At 35.9% G+C, this 17,773-nt stretch overlaps 1 protein-coding gene across 8 annotated transcripts in view; it reads right to left on the bottom strand.

Annotated features, from left to right (window-relative positions):
- Window positions 1–5: 5 nt before the first annotated feature.
- ARHGEF38 (Rho guanine nucleotide exchange factor 38) overlaps window positions 6–17,773 on the bottom strand; it is a 129,947-nt gene continuing 112,179 nt past the window's right edge. For 3 of the 8 annotated variants that reach the window (NM_001242729.2, XM_011532050.3, XM_006714244.4), the window contains 4 exons: window positions 16,252–16,395; window positions 15,245–15,443; window positions 14,869–15,128; window positions 1,658–4,820 (listed from right to left, as the gene is read on the bottom strand). In NM_001242729.2, the coding sequence (NP_001229658.1) occupies window positions 4,635–4,820; window positions 14,869–15,128; window positions 15,245–15,443; window positions 16,252–16,395 (789 nt within the window). In that variant the 3' untranslated portion in view covers window positions 1,658–4,634. The other 5 variants (XR_007057934.1, XR_938749.4, XR_938750.4 and 2 more) reach the window with 5 other exon arrangements.

Here is a 17,773-nt window from a genome sequence, read left to right as displayed (position 1 = left end):
TTTCATTTTAAATCAATCTTCAACATTTTTATTCTAATGATTTCCATAGTGTGTGAAAACAATGATTAGAATGACTGGTTCTCAATGAGATCTTCAGAAGATTGAAAGCATCTGTGAATTTAAGGAAAAAGAAATAGTTCATCTTCTAGCAAAGCCCCAAGAGTTGATCCTGATGAATGAGGTGCCTTATGTGGCGGCAGGGACGACCCAACATAGTTTTCTATTTTCCTCCCCGTATTCTGGGTGTTCATTTTCTGTGCTAGCCCCATTTCAACTGACTCTCCCTCTCCCTCCCAATTATTTCATCTTTTTCAAAATTATTTTTTCATTATTGATTTCTCATATCAATGGATTTTCCTAATTGATTTATCATACTTCATATTATATCTTTACCTTTTTTATCACCTCATTTCAATTATTTAAGGGTATATCTTTTTCCAATAAATTGTGAACTCTCCTGGTGCTTAATACAATATTTTTTCTCACATTGCTCACTTTTCCTACATTGCCAATGTAATACATGCACATAGTACGTAATAAATGTTGAATTTTGATTCATCTTGGTTATGCACATTCCTGATAAGTTTTGAAGAAAAATACCATTTCACAAAGGTCTTTGCAGATGGAAATATATGACTTGTTCACACACTGATGGCTTCTTCCTATACCATGAAAGAAAAGGCTATCTTACTTAGTGCTCAAAATGTTATAGCACTTTACCTAATTTTAGCTAACTTTGTATACAATAAGCTCCTATATAATGATTAATTCTTGAGATTGTTTTGTACATTGTTAACCCATTTATGCCAGAGGTTGCAAATTTTTTTGGTGAAAAATCAGACCTGATGATGACCTTGAACAGTAGGATATAAATAACTCTATAAGCCGAGCATTGCAATAATGGAACACTAGGCATAAGTGGGTTAAGTCAGAAAATGTGGAAGGTCTGCGTTGTTGTCTTACTTGCAAGCTAACAAATTAACCAGCAATTGTTGTACATGTATATTCTGAGAGAAGATAGGAAGCCCTCTGCATCAGAGAAACAGTTTATTATTCACAGCAAAAAAACTGGATATCCAACAAATTCACACATTCACAAGACTATGAACAGCCTGTTCCATCAAACTTGATTTGTGCTACTAAATCTTCACTCTACAAATCTCTAATCTCAAACTGTCTTCCTTAATCCCTAGGTTTTTCTAACATCATTATTCTAAAGTATATTGATAGGTGATCTCTGTAAACACAAAGCTTTTAAAATTAAGCTTGGTCTTTTTTTTTTTAAGGAAAGATTATTATTTTAAACTGCTCTGTTAAATAATGGTGCTAAATTATTTGTAGTAAATTAGAATCCAGGATTGAGATAATCCATTATCTCAATTATGATCTCAATAGGCAGTAAATGTCTGTTTACCCTATATGTAAATAATGAATTATCTCAATCCTACAGAGACTTTTGCTTTGAGAAACAGATTTATTTTGATAAAACATCAATTTGACATAAACCCCAATTTCCCTTTGGGGTCAAAGAAACCAAAAAATACATATCCATAATTGTTTATAGTTCAAAACCAGTTTGGACTAAACAAAATTACCTGACATAAAAACTCAGCTCCGCAACTATAACAGTTAATGTAACCTCCATACCTACAAAAAATGAAAGCAGTAATGTTTATTACAGTTCACACATTGGCACTTGAAATGAAAACATTTATCCCATCATGGAAAATACGTGCTACATAGAGTTGAGAAGAGAAGCAATTATTTTAATTTCTGTTGTACCTCAGAGGGGACTTTAGTTTAGGAGGTAATTTATCTTTCACTGAGTATGGCTCTTTGTATAGATAATGTGTGCACACGTATATTTAGGTTATGTACATATGTATAAGTACACATATACCGTATTTAGCTCAGTTTGGTATTTTATAGAGGTATATTTGGTATTAGAGTTTAAATTGTCTCAAGGAGCTTTTAGACCTTGATTTTTTTCATGTCATAAAATGAGCTACAAGACCCTTTAACTGAGCAGTAATGAAAGTAGCCAGTTTTATATAAATAGCATTTATTATTTTATGATCATTTTATTTAGTTTGTTATGTGCAGATGTTTTCCCCACTAGAATTTAAGTGGTATGAATGGAGGGATCTTGTTTGTCTTGCACAGCATTGTATTCCCACTAACTCTCAATAAATACTTACTGGTTCAATGAATGAATGGACAGATAAGCAAGTGTGCTAACAAGTAAGCTTTTAGGATTGTACATTTTAATCCCATTAGTAGATATGTGGTGACTATCATTTTTCTATTTTGCATATGCTTTATGTAAGATTATATAACTACAGATTTTAGTGACTTAAGGAAAAGAAAAGGGAAAACACTAAAAGAAAGGCCTTAAAGTCAGAAGACCTGGTTTTAAATTCCAGTCCCTCCATGTGAGGTCCTCAATTTCCTCCTTTATAAAACACAGATGAAAATGAGATGTCCTTCAAGTCTACAGTGGATCTGAAGGGAGGGCTATTATTTTCTGTGAGACGAAGAAGAATGTAACTGACATGGCCATGAATCCGCACAAAACAGAATGCACTGTGTTTACATGGGGACATTGCACAGTCACAAAGAGAAATTACACTAAAAGGCTTCAGAGAGGTAATTATAAAGTTTTGGTGGCAACCAATGTGGCTCCTCGTGGTTTGGACATTCCTGTAGTTGACCTGGTGATTCAAAGTTCTCCTCCTCAGGATATTGAGTCCTATATCCATCTCTCTGGATGCGTGGGTAAAGCTGGACAGACAGGGGTTTGTATATGTTTTTATCAACCAAGAGAAAGGTCAACTAAGACATGTGGAACAAAAAACACAAATTACTTTTAAATGTGTAGGTGTTCCTTCTACAATGGATTTAGTTAAATTTAAAAGCATGGATGCCATAAGGTCTCTGGCTTCCATTTCTTATGCTGCTGTTGATTTTTTTCCAACCATCAGCTCAGATACTGATAGAAGAGAAAGGGGCGATAGATGCATTGGCTGCAGCTTTAGCCCACATTTCTGGTGTATCAAGCTTTGAACCATGATCTTTAATCAACTCTGATAAGGGGTTTGTGACCATGACTCTGGAAAGCCTAGAGGAAATACAGGATGTCAGCTGTGCTTGGAAAGAACTTAGAAAGCTGAATAGTAATGCAGTGTCTCAGATTACCAGAGTGTGCCTCCTGAAAGGAAATATGGGTGTTTGCTTTGATATTCCTCCAATTGAGTCAAAGGTTACAGGCAAAGTGGCATGATTCCGGCTGGATACTCTCAGTGCCAGCTAAATTACCTGAAATTAAAGAATATTATGATGGAAACATCTTTTAATTCCAGACAGAGGAGTGGCTGGTCAGGCCAGTCAGGTTGTCGATCTGGCAATTGGTCAGGTAGAGAGAGTCGACAAAGCAGTTGCTCAGGAAAGTCGGCAAGATGGTAGAAGACGAAGTGGAACAGAAATAGATCAAGAAGTGGGGGCCACAAATGGAGTTTTGACTGAGTATTTGATAGTTAATTTAGCAGTGTGAGCTTGCCTATTTCTACCTAATCTTACATTATGGATCAAAAATTAGGTCATCATTGTTGAGGTATGTGTCTACTATTTGCAAAGAAGTTGATCGTATTTTTTTAAAAAAGTATTTCACAAGAATGATTGTAAACAAATCTACTTATCCAGTTATACCTTTGAATAAAAAAACCTCCTTTTATTGTCTCTTTAAAAAAAAAAAAAAACAACAAGAAAAGAAAGAAAAAAGCCCTGGCTGAAGGGGAAGTCTATTTAGATGGTTGGAAGCCTTAGAATTTTATTTTTGGTTTACACTACCTAGGTTTAAGTCCAGGCCCACCACTTAATAGCAATGTGATTTGGATTAAATTACTTCACCTTTTTGGGCCATGGTTTCTTCATAATGTTTTGAATATTAAACAAGTTACTACATATAAAGCACTTAGAACAATGTCTGGCATATAGTGTGCATTCAGTAATGTTACATGTTAATATCAAGTTATTCAGTTTTAGTTCAAAACATATAAACGAAACATTAACAAAATATATTATCAAAGACTTCTAGTTGGTGGTATATTCTTCTTATGTATATTTGGTGTATACTCTGATTTATACATATAGGTGTATAATTCATATTATCCACATACGTGTATAAAGCTACATAATATATATGGTTTATATGTATGTATATAAACATGTATGCATTTGCAAGAGAGCAATATGAAAAACAAAAACATTTAAGGCAAAATACATCATACAGTAAAAAAAAAAGTAAATTGAAAAACCTTTGGATCCAACCTTTCTTGATGATAAAAGAATATAATTACTCCTTCAAAAGATCTTCACTTTTAAATAGTTGATAGTTGAAGCTTGGGTCATTTGCTTTGCTATTTCTGTTGGCTTAGTATTTCTTTCAACATGTATCCTTTATAATACATTCATGCAATAATCCTGTTAGGAAGTACAGTATTCCTGAAAACCCAGTACAGTATCAGTTTCTGTAGTTCAGAGGTTTCTTGCTTTCTGGTCCAAAGTTTTGTAATGTCAGTTTTATGAGGTAGTCAATCAACAACTTGCTGGAAAATAAAAGTTGAAGGCTTATTTTCTTAAGCATAAGTCATCTTTCCAAGGTAGTTAGCTGGCACGTATCCTTTCTGCCCTTGAGCTTCAGCTAACCACCACTCTTTATTGCCACTTAGGTCACAAAACCTGAGTATATGAACTCTCTGGTATTCCTGAAGGCTGAGTTCATGGTCACTCCGTGCTTGAAAAGCATGAACTGCATAGAAAATCTAGACAAAGAAACAAAAGACATTATTGGAATTGGAACCTGAATATTAAGAGAAACATCATAAAAGTTTCCAAGCTTTTAGAAGCAATGCTAAAGTTTTTTTGTTTTGCCAAAGTCACATTGTCCAACTCCTTCTATTGGATGTATTTTGCTAAAATATAACCCAGGTGAGAATGGAGTGAAATAGGTATTCCTATTATTCTGTTAGGAGGAATATAAATTGTCCATGCTTGAAGGCAACTTGGCAGTTTCTATTAAAAGATTTTTAATAATGTTAAAATGTTAATTCCTTGTGAATCAAAATAGCTTGAAGAATCTCTTCTACAGAAACATCGGCAGAAATTTTTGCATAACAATGTTACTGGATTACCCATAAGAATGGCGAAAAGTGGGAGAGTAGTAGGAATAACACTATAAGTTTAGCAAGAGAAAAATAGTTAAATTCCAGACCCTCATACTAAGGAGATTTGTAGTCATTAAAAACGGTGCAGGCCGGGCGCGGTGGCTCACGCCTGTAATCCCAGCACTTTGGGAGGCCGAGGTGGGTGGATCACGAGGTCAGTAGTACAAGACCAGCATGACCAACGTGGTGAAACCCCGTCTCTACTAAAAAATACAAAAATTAGCTGGGCGTGGTGGCGTGTGCCTGTAATCCCAGCTACTCAGGAGGCTGAGGCAGGAGAATAGCTTGAACCCGGGAGGCGGTGGTTGCAGTGAGCCGAGATCGCGCCACTGCACTCCAGCCTGGGCGACGGAGTGAGACTCTGTCTCCAAAAAAAAAAAGAAAAAACACAAAACAACAACAAAAACGATGCTTTCTGAGACTAATAACATGGGAAACACTTATGATAAAATAGTAAACCTTAAAAAGAACATAAAATTAGATGTACGATATAAGTCTAATATTATTGTTTCTTTGAATGGTACAATTATAGCTGATTTTCATTTTTACTTCCTTGTTCCCTTCTTTATTTCCCAAACCTTTATAATGACAATGTATTAAATTTATAATTTAAAAATTATTTTATGGCCTAGAATAATACAATATTTCAGTCAAAAGAATTTTTCTCTGACCTCAAAAGAACAATTTATAATTATTAAGTGCGTAAGAAGCCCCAAAATAAGTCTTTATTCTTCCAACAAAATCATAAGATTGATAATAAAAATGTTTAGTTATGGCATAAAATTAAGCAACTGGCTTAGTTTATTCCCATTCATTTATTTAAGCAATATTTATTCCCATTCATTTATTTAATGAAAATTTTTCAAGTACCTACTAAGTGCTGGTTATTATTTTATTGGACAACTTACAACTCAGCTAGGAAAAGAAAATGCCAGTGAACAAAACAAAACACACCAAAACAGCAACAACTCTACACACAGATGATACATCAGCTAATGGTGAGCTGAATTTTGAAATAAGTTATCTTTCATAAATGACAAAGCTGACAAAAGGCATGAATATGTCATATTTGAAGGTACGGAGATGAATACATGAAAACAACATATAGGAAAAGACAAGCAGATTAACTCTCAAACTTGAGATTCAATAGGTAAGGGAAACTATGAGAAATAAGATGACTTCATTACTTCATTAAGCAGAGAAAGAGAATGCGTAGTGTGGAAAGGAGACTATAGCTGTAGCTGAAGTTGTTATTTAAATATTAAACTGTTATTTAACTTTTGGTGAAACTTTGATTCAATTGATTGGGATATTGATTTATCAACTAATATGAGCTGCTCCCCAAGGAAAGAACCACATTGCTATGGACTGAATGTTTGTTTCCCCTCAAAGTTTATGTGTTGAAAGCCTAATCCACAAGGTAATGCTATTAAGAGGTAAGGCCTTGGGGAGGTGATTAGCCTTCAACTTCCTGAATGGGATTGGTTTCTCTTTAAAAGAAGCCCAAAAGAGACTCTTCACCCCTTCCACCATGTGAGGGCCCAATGAGAAGGTGCCATCTATGAACCAGAAAGTTGCCCCTCAGCAAACACCACATAAACTGGTGCCTTGATCTTGGACTTCCAGCCTCCACAACTGTGAGAAATAAATTTCTGTTGTTTATAAGCCAACCAGTTTATGGTGTTTTGTTACAGCAGCCCAAATGCACTAAGACACACATTTAAACTTTTCTCCATTGACCACATTATGGTACAAAGTAGGAATTCAAATATTTATTGATTTGACCTGAAAATTAGTAGGAATATTCAAATATTTATTGAAAGGCATGGATATCATACAAGACATCATCTTGTATCATAAAAGATACATACAAGAGATTGATGAACATGGTCAAATTATTACATAATTTTTTTAAGTAAAGAAGAAAATTAAAAGTACTATAAATTCTTTAGCAATGGAGTGGTAGCAATAATAAACACCTTTTACAGAGCGCATGGCAGTTATATGTTAAATGTGCTTTGTCCTCAACAACCTTATGAGTTATGTCTTACAGAAGAAACATATTTTTAATTATAGAGCTAATTGGTGCTGCTATGACCAATATCTTCTAACTTCAAATCCTGTGCTTGGTCCATTTCTCATAATGCTTTAGAGACCAAACTCTTGTTCTAGCAAGTATGTACAGAGTGTATTCTTGCGGAGAGGGACTGGAGTTTCTAGTATATTGTAGATGGTGTTGTTTTGCTGTGTAGAAAGTGAAAACATTGAATAAATCCACAGGAACAGAATGGAAGATTTGGTTTGCAAAAGTATTCGGGAATGTAACGTACTATAATACATCTGAAACATCTGTAAGAGCCTGCATTAGTGGTTGGTAATCATCTTTTATAATTTTTATAAATAATAGGTAATGCTTTACCTATGCAACTATAGATTTTTTTAGCAGGTTAGATTGCCTACTAATAGAACATTTCTAAATAGTGGTAGTTTTTTACTTTAGCACAATTCTCTCAAGCGAAATATAAACTCTTCCATCTAGATCTGTTTGGTATGAAATTATAGTTTATATTCTAAATATTAAAATATATTCTCATGAAATTGTAAATTTAAAGTACAAAATTATATACTTTCAATGCTTTAGATAATCATGACCCAAAATTTGTTTAGGATGAGCACTTTTTAGTTTTTATATAATTTATGTTAAATGGGGGCATATATTATATACTCAAAATGGAAGTAAGCTGCTTTTAAAGAGACAGCAGTCTATTTTCAGTCTCTTTTTTAAGTCTCCTTTTTAGTATTTTTAGTCTCCTTAATGTTAGACTACAAGTTATAAATTTTTAACCTGTCATGCATTTAAGAACTGAAAGATTTCTCATTATCTTCAACATTTTAATTGTTTCAGTCTGTAACTTTCTAATCTTAAATGCTAATATGTTTTGGTCCAGGCACATTAATTACAATGTTGTTAATTTGAGCCATAATCACCTAATCTTCTTCTGTTTTTCCTTGGCACTTTTTAAAATGTATTTTATTGATTGCTTCTTTCTACTCTATAAAGCTCTGACTCATTTTAGGTGCAGTATTCTGTGAATACAACTCAGTTTTCTACCACACTTACTTTTTTTATAACACTGTATTATTGACTCATACCTAATTTATTACCCACTGCTTATAACCACTAGATCTTTCCCTGTGGTAACATTCCCAGTTTGGCATTCCCTTATTCTATATTTGTGCATTTGATTTTTCCTTCCTCCGTGAGCCACATTACCTGACTTCACTGAATATCATTTTATTTTTATCCCAATTCTCCAATTAACAGCAACAAAAGTCATAATATATGTTAATCTTCTGTTCTAAAACTAAAAGGTACAGAATCAGCATTTATGGTACATTATATGTATCTCTGGAAACCAAGGTAGTTGTATTGCATGAAAAATGCTCATTATTCTCTCTTACCCTTCAGGAGCAAGCTTTCATGTTCTTCACTTAACAATTATATGTTTTAATTACACGAGCAATTTCGATGAAGAAAAAAATTTTAAGTAAAGTTAAGCAAAACAAAACAAAACAAAACAAAACCCACCCAACTGCTATTAGTATCTTCTTTTCCTTCCTCCCATCTTCCTCTCTTCCTTTCTTCCTTCTTTCCTTCCTTCCATTTTTGTTTTCTACCTACCTACCTGAAGTGGTAATAAAAATGGACTTATAGTATACATAACTTTGCAAGCTGTTTTTTACCTCATACTATTTTTGAAAATCTCTTCATGTTAATAAGCTGACTTTTTTAAGCACTTTCTAAACAATGACACAGTAGGTATATAGCATCATCATCATAGGTAGCTGGAAAATGTAAAGATGAAGGGCCAGACTATGAACGTGGGATTGGTAGCAAAACGACTACTTTTTTTAGAAGTCAAAAATTATATTTTCAATATTACTTATGTGGAAAAAGAAAACAACACTGATTCTCAGACACTGAACTGCCCCCCAAAACTGGGTTTTAGCCGTTATTAAACCTAGTCCTTTTTGAGAAGTGCCAAGGACAAGATTCTGCTTGCCAAACAAGGCATCTTAGACACTCTGGAAGGCAGAATTCTAGGATGGACCCCAAGAATCCCACCCCCTATTGTACATGTTCTATATAATCTCCTCCCCTTGACTGTGACTGGAACTTCTTAATAGATGTGCTATTACTCCTGTGATTAGGCTACACTCTATAGCAAAGGTAAAGAGATTCTGCAGAGGTGCTTATTAAAGTCCCTAGGAAATTGACTCGGAGTTAGTCAAAAGAGGGATTATCCTGGATGGGCCTGACCTACTCATATGAGACTTTTGAAGTGCATTCAGGCCTCCTCTGAAGGGAGAGATTTGAAGCCAGAGAGATGCTCACCTACTGACTTTGAAGAAGCAAACAGCCATGTTGTAAACTGCCTATAGAGACAGCCACATGGCAAGGATTTGAGAGCAGCCTCAGGTTGTTGAAAGTGGTCTCTGGCTAATTGCCAACAAGAAAAAGGAGTCCTTAGTCCGACCAGAACAAGAAATTTAATTCTGCCAATGACCATGAGCTGGGAAGAGAACCCTCAGTTTCAGAAGCAATACAACCAGCAAACAGCTAGATTGCAGCTACATGAGATCTTAAGCAGGGCATCCAGCTAAACCGTGCTTGGACTCCTGACAACAGCCCCTGAGAAATATGTTTGTATTGTTTTAAGCCACCAAATTTGTGGTAATTTGTTATGCAGCATGGAACACTAATGCAGAGCATGCCATTACTATTTGATGGACAAAAGGAGAGAATACATTAGAATGGGAAGGCATATTTACGTGAATGCTTTTGTTATATTCTTCGATATAGCAAAAAACAAAATGAAGAACTTAAAAATTAAGGACCTTGGTATAAATCAGTACTGCCAGGTTGTGAATATCCACTAGCTCATCCCCATTATTCAACAAAGGCTCCAGAATATAATTTGGGGGAACTTTTTTGTAGCAGTCTCTCTTCTTACTTGAGGTAGAGAATGGATAAGCAAGTTAAATCTCTACAGCAGTGATTTCTAACATTTTAGATAAAATTTTCTTTTAAAAGTCTGTTTAAAAAGGTAGACTTCTTTTACCATAGATGTGTACATATGCAAATAAGCACAATATTTCCAATGTATTTGAGGAGACTCATTAAATCCTCCCAAAACTCATTCATAGACCACTTCAGGTCTTCGCGTCCAGGTTAAAAATTCAGCTCTAGTATAAAAATCACAGAGCCACTAGAATCTAAGTTTGAAATTGCCTATATGTGAATGATCTTTAGAGACCCAAAGATACCCCCTGAGTATGAGGTAGAGGCCACCTGTCCTTTTTGTCAGGGCCCACTAGACCCATCAATAAATCCAGACTACATCCTACAACACCCCTTGGAAACATGCTATAGCAATTCTGGAAGAAATAAAAAAAGTGCTACCACAGTAGGAAGGGAGAGGGAAATAAATGATAACAAAAAGTGGCATCCAATTAAGCCAGTACAAGTTTCAGCTGATGTTCCTGATAATAAAATAAAATCAAGAACGAAAGTCTAAATAGCCACACAGAAAATTGCTTTGTAGGATACCGCAAATGTGAAATATTACAATATGTACTGTATTCTCACTGTTGGTAAAGAAGATATAATTTTCTTCCACTTTTGATCACATTACAGGGACCTCTATAATGTATTGACTTATACTATCACATCACAAATACAGAGGTTAATCACTTTCTTCTCCCCACAATTTCTCAAAGCCAACAGAATAGAAACATCGGCCCTGGGGCAAGGATTAGGCACATAATATACTCCTTTCTCTCTGTTTTCAATATTATGCATTATGCATTACAGGGGGAGTCTGGAAACCACTGGCCCATGTGCATCTATTGGCTAGAGTTAAGACATTAAGGGAGATATTTCCATGCGGCCTTCTCTTCTCCCTTGTAGTGAAGTTTCCAACAGGTGCATCCTCTTCCTCATCTTGCAGTAAGTTTATTGGGACAGACTTTTTCCCTGCACAGGGTTCACCTTCAGTTTGAGTTAGATGATTTCTACTCTGAGGGAAAGTATCAGGGATCCCATGTGCTACCGATCCAAGATGCATCTTCAATCCAGTTTTATTAGTAATAATGCTTATATGTGCTTATATTTATATTCCTGATGCTATGCCTACTTTGAATTGGTGCCAAATGCAGAGGAAAAAGAAAGCAAATAACAATTTATGAAGATATGCCATTAATATATTTTTTGTTTTGAAATACTATCTCATTTTTTTCCTCTCTTGGTAATGGAAATCTCTAATGGATGTAATTCACATTATATATATTGATAGGATTGCTTGGAGAAAATTGCTTTGAAGTACCAGCTAGTAGGAACTAAATGCAGTCTCATACTACAAACACCAGGCAGAAAGTCTGTGTGAGGTGCTCAGTCCAAAGTCCCTGTAGAGCCAAGTAAGAACAAGAACTCAACATCAAGCCAGCTTTAGAGTGTGCTGATAAATTTGGCCCTCAGATTTCTGTCCATCTAGGTTATTGGGACAAGGCAAAGTCTGACAGGACATTTAATCAGGTACATAGATTTCACTGATAAAAATTCATTAGTTAGCATTATAATATGTTTTTTAGAAACTGAATAAACAACAGAGTGAACAAGTAATAGAGAAATAGTGTTTTGAAACATCAAGACAGAAGGGTAATAAGAACAAATAGTAATGTCCAGACAAGTTAAGAGTCAGTTATAACCAGGGGAAAATATTTGCAAATTATATATCTGATTAAAAAAAAACTTGCACTCAGGTTTATAAAGAACTCTTACAATGGGAAAATAAGAAGGAAAATGACCCAGTTTTTTTTAAATAGGCAAATATTTGAATAGACATTCACCAAAGGAAATAAAAGAATGGCAAATGAGCCCATGAAAAAATGTTCAATAGCATTAATCATTAGGGAAATGCAAATTAAAACCCCAGAGAGATACCACCTCATACCCACAAGATGGCTATAATTAAAAAGACAAATAATAACTAGTGTTGACAAGGATGTGAAGAAACTGCAACCCATAAACCTCACACTTTGCTGGTAGGAATCTAAAATGGTGCGCCCACTTTGGATTACAGTTTGGCAGTTTCTTAAAAATTTAAACATACACTTATAAAACCAATAAGAAATTACACTTCTGGGTATCTACTCAAGAGAAATAAAATCCACAACAAAGACTTGCACACGAATATTCATAGCAGCATAATTCACAATAGCCCCAAACTAGAAGTTACCCAAATGACCATCAACTGGTGAGTGGATTAACAAAATATACCCACAGAATGGAATATTAGTAGGCGATAAAAAGCAACAAAGTACATATACATACTACAACATGAAAGACTCTCAATAAATTTTGCTAAGTGAAAAAAAGCAGCTGTAAAACACCACATATTGTACAATTTTGTTTATACAAAAGATACAGAAAAGGCAAATGTATGGAGACAGAAAGTAGGTTAGTGGTTCCCTGGGGTTAGGGGTGGGAAAGAGGAGGGACTACAAATGGGTGCAAAGGGTTTTTTGGAGTGAAAGAAATGTTTTAAAATTGGATTAAAGTGATGGTTGCACAACTTTGTAAATATACTAAACTTGTACAACTTTGTAATATATACTAAAAGTCATGATTGTACACTTAAAAATGGATTAATTATATGACATGAATATAAGATATTGATAAGCTGCTTTTGAAAAAAAACACCAAACCAAAAAAAAAAGAAGTCATGAATTGGACAGCAATCAATAACTGTTAATGAAAGAAACTGAATAGAACCATACTTTTGAAGGTCAGTATGGCAATGTCTATAAAGACGTTAAATGTACATACCTTTGGCCCTCTAATATTTTAGGAATTTGTTTTACACTTATATACTCATACAAATGCACAAAAATAGATGGACAAGCCCCTTCCTTGAAATATTGTTTGAAATTTTTTAAAAGCCCAAAACGTTCTATGTATCTATTATTAGGCTGATAGTTACATAAATTATATACATAAAATTAAATACTGTGTAGAGCTTTTTAAGGAATAAGATAGCTATTTAGGTTTAATTGTGTCTAAGATATATTGTTACATGGAAAAAAACCCTATATACCATACATGCTATGTTTCCCACTGGTATAAATGTGTTTGTATATGCACAGAATATACAAAGGATATACCCAAGCATTGTCTCTGAAGCACAGGACAAGGGGAGAAGGGACTAAAAACCATTACTTTTATTATTATTATTATTATTTCTAAAGACAGGATCTCCCTCTGTTGCCCAGGCTGGAGTGCAGTGGCATGATCACGGCTCACTGCAGCCTCAACCGCCCCGGCTTGTGCAATTCTCCCACCCCAGCCTCTCCAGTAGCTGGGACTACAGATGTGGGCAACCACTCTTGGCTAATTTTTTTGATTTTTAGTAGAGATGAGGTCTTGCTATGTTACCCAGGCTGTCCTCAAACTCAGCCCAAGCAATCCTCCCACCTCAGCCTCACAAAATGCTGGGATTACAGGCATGAGCCACCAAGCCCAGCTTACTTTTAAGTTACGTATGCTTTTCTACTATTTTAACTTCTCTATCTATCTATCTATCATCTATCTATCTATCTATCTATCTATCTATCTATCTATCTATCTACACATATACATATACATAACCTCTATAAAAATAAATTTAAATAAATTATTAATAGAACACTAAAGAAAAAGCAAGGTAAATAAATAAAGGAATTAGATGGTCACCACTGGGGAATGAACCATTAAGTATACTGAACCTTTCTGATATAGCAAAAACAAGTCCTGCACTATAATTAACTTACCATTTTGCAAAAAGATTGTACCAGTAGCTTTTGCATTAGTGCAGTGAGGGAAATATAGCTCTTACAAGTTTCAGTATAGACCAGTCTGACCAATATGGTGAAACCCTACTAAACTCTACTAAAAATACAAAAATTAGCCAGGCGTGGTGACGTGTACCTGTAGTCCCAGCTACTTGGGAGGCTGAGACAGGAGAATTGCTTGAACCTGGGAGGCGGAGGTTGCAGTGAGCCGAGATTGCGCCACTGCACTCCAGCCTGGGCGACAGAGTGAGACTCCATCTCAAAAAAAAAAGAAAAAAAGAAAAAGTTTCCATATATAGTGTGTGGTATTATACATGAGATTAAAACTGGCCAATTACTAGATAGCTCAATGAAGATTATGCTCTTAGAGGAATCATGGGCAATTTCCCATGTGCTATTGATGGCAGCAATCTGTTCAGTATTGAACTACTTTTCTTTGATGGAGGGGGTATAAAAAGATACTTTGCTGTAAGTATGTAACAGCAGGGTAGTAATAGTAATAGCTCCCATTTATTGTGTGTCTACTTTGTGCTGGCTACTTTACATACACACTTTATCTCTAATTCTTTGCTTCATTTAAGGAAACAGGCTCAGGGAATTAAACTCCTTACAAAAAGATCCACTGTGCTAATAGAGCCAGGTCTCCTTGATGTCAAAGCTGGCACTTTTCCACCAAGTGTTACAGTATTATAGAGTACAGTAGAGAGATACTCTTTCATGATTTGAACAACCACATATTTTTACATCAAATTTTTACCTGTTCGTCTACTTCTTGAAAACTGTCAACATCAGTACCATTTGTTTCAAACTTTCCACATGTGCCACTAAGAGATGAGCTGCTATCACCAATGCTGCTTTCTGAGGTGCCTGTGACACTGTCACTAGCTGGCCGTGAAGACACGAAGAGGCTGATGTTCTCAAAATCATCGTCACAGAACCTGTTCTCAGCATCCACTTTCTGCATTTTTGCTGGATTGTAGGGTTTTAGGAAGGAGGAATAAACATATCCTTTCACATCTGGATAGGAAATAAAAAGAAAGAAGAACCAAGTTCATGGGTATACTCTTCCCAAACATGTGCCCTCAGAAAAATCTCAGTTTAAAGAAGAGTGGTAGTTCTGGGGAAAAACTTACTTCCTGTGTCCACAAGCCACCTGCTTGTACTCCCCAGTGGATCTTTCTGTTCTATCACAGCCACCAAGTCTCCTTCCAGAAGATTGATGTCATATTCTTGTGTAGCATTGCACTTGCGCTTAGCTTGATAGAGTTCCTCTGCACTATATGTGGATAGAAGTTTGGAGCGATGAATGTCAGTTTGATGTGGCATTTCTGGCTGGGAGAAATAAGGAGAAGTTTTGGTTTAGACAGATACATAATAAAATCCTCATGGAGTTGGTAAATATTTTTTCCCTGGAGATTTTTAAAACGTAGGAGTCATATATTTTTAGAGGATTATTTCAAGGTGCAGGCATAGAGCAGGCTATTATCGTAAAGTACCCAGCTGAGTTATTCAGGGAAAAATGTTTCTAGTAAGCACAGGAGGGCAGTGTTGTAGAGAAGAAAAAACAAGAATAAGAAGGCAGAGGTTCTAATCCCTCTTGGATGTTGCACAACCATTTTAAACTCTTTGCCATTCTGCAGACAACCCGTTGCATATTAAGTATTCAGCTAAGTAAATTGTACATGTACATGTCTTTATCTGGGAAATATCATCAGCAAATTAGACAAGAATCAAGACGCTTATACTCCCCCCCTCAGCTCGGGCCCTAAGAGACTTTGAGAAACCCACTTATCTCTGGGGCCTGGTATGCCTTATGTAGAAAAGGAAATGTCTGGACTATATGATTTATCTTTATAAAATCTTATTCAACAAATATTTATTGAGTGCCTCCTACCTTGTGACAAGCACCATTTTAGTCATTTTAGGCACTTTGGGGATACGCCATGTACAAAGTAGAAAAAAAATCCATGATCTTATGGAGCTTATGGTATATAGGATAGAAATGTACAAGAAATTCTACACATATGTAAATTATAGGATATTAGAATGAGATAAGTGATCTGGAAAATAATATGATACTACAACTTGGATAAGGCAAAGAGGTGAAAGTTATCATTGTCATGAATGCTGCCAAACTCACCAGAATCTGCACAGGTTTCTTCTTTTCAAAACTGAGTTTCCTCTCAATAAAGGTGGCACTGTTTTCTTTCACACAATTCAAATTTTGGATCTCTTCTAGTACTTGATTCTGAATCTCAGAAATGCTTGAAACCAACAGTGGCATCTATAGGTAGAAATAATATGGCATTGTTTCCAGACACCTAGATAATCATATCAGGTGTTAAATGTATTGAGTTGTGATGAACAGTTGAGGAGGTATATGGTAGCTCCATTGTGAAAAGTTAGGGCAACTTTAGAACTTCTAGATAAATATGGTCTAATTTATTGTCTCTAGAAACCCCACAAACATGATAGGAATTTTTTTTTAAGTTTCAAGCCAAATGAAAGAACAGAAGAGAAAAAATAGCAATGAAGTCTTGGAAAAAAAGCTCAGGAGCTCATGGCAGTAGGTACCTCCCTTGTGGTGGGGTAGGATGGTGGCAAGGGAAAGCAGCTAAAAGAAGGAGCACTGATTAAGAGCCTGTGCTGGTTTTCAAACAAATTCTTCAACATTGCTTCCTACAAAGAAATGGAGTTTACATCCCTACCCCTCAAAAACTGGGTAAGTCTGGCATAGTGGCTCATGCCTGTAATCACAGCCAATAGGGAGGCTGAGGTAAGAAGACTGCTTGTGCCCAAGAATTTGAGACCAGCCTGGGCAATGTAGCAAGACCTTGTCTCTTAAAAATTTTTAAATCTTAGCCAGGCATGGTAGTACATGCCTGTAGTTCAGCTAATCAGGAAGCTGAGGCCAGAAGATCACTCGAGCCCTGGAGTTCAAGACCAGCCTGGGCAACTAGTCACTACTAAAAAAAAAATTTTTTTTTTCAGGCTGGAGTGCAGAGGCACGATTTTGGCTCACTGCAACCTCCGACTCCCTGGTTCAAGTGATTCTCCTGCCTCAGCCTCCCGAGTAGCTGGGATTATAGCCACGCATCACCACGCCCAGCTAATTATTTTTTGTATTTTTAGTAGAGACGGGGTTTCACCATGTTGGCCAGGATGGTGTCCATCTCCTGATCTCATGATCCGCCCGCCTCGGCCTCCCAAAGTGCTGGGATCACAGGCATAAGTGACCGCACCTGGCCTGCTACTAAAAATTACAAAATAATAATAATAATAATTAATAAATAAAATTAGCCCAGTGAGGTGGTGTGTGCCTGTAATCCCAGCTACTCTGGAGGCTGAGGCAGGAGGACTGCTTGGACCTGGGAAGTTGAGGCTGCAGTGAGCTCTGTGATCACACCATGACACTCCAGCCTGGGTGACAGAGTGAGATCCTGTCTCAACAACAACAACAGCAACAACAAAACAGCTTTCTTGCTCTCTGGCTTCCAAATGGATTCAATCAATCCATCATTAAGGAGCACCTGTAGGAAATTAGAATGGGGGAAGAAAATGAGATAAGGATATTTATTTCCTAATTTTGCTTTCAGTAGTATTGACAGAAATACACAGCTCCTATCAAGTCACCCTCTCCACACACCTCTCTCTCTACACAT

This window comes from Homo sapiens, chromosome 4, assembly GCF_000001405.40.
Source record: "Homo sapiens chromosome 4, GRCh38.p14 Primary Assembly".
NCBI lineage: Eukaryota > Metazoa > Chordata > Mammalia > Primates > Hominidae > Homo > Homo sapiens.
This window is presented reverse-complemented; position numbering and strand designations above follow the sequence as displayed.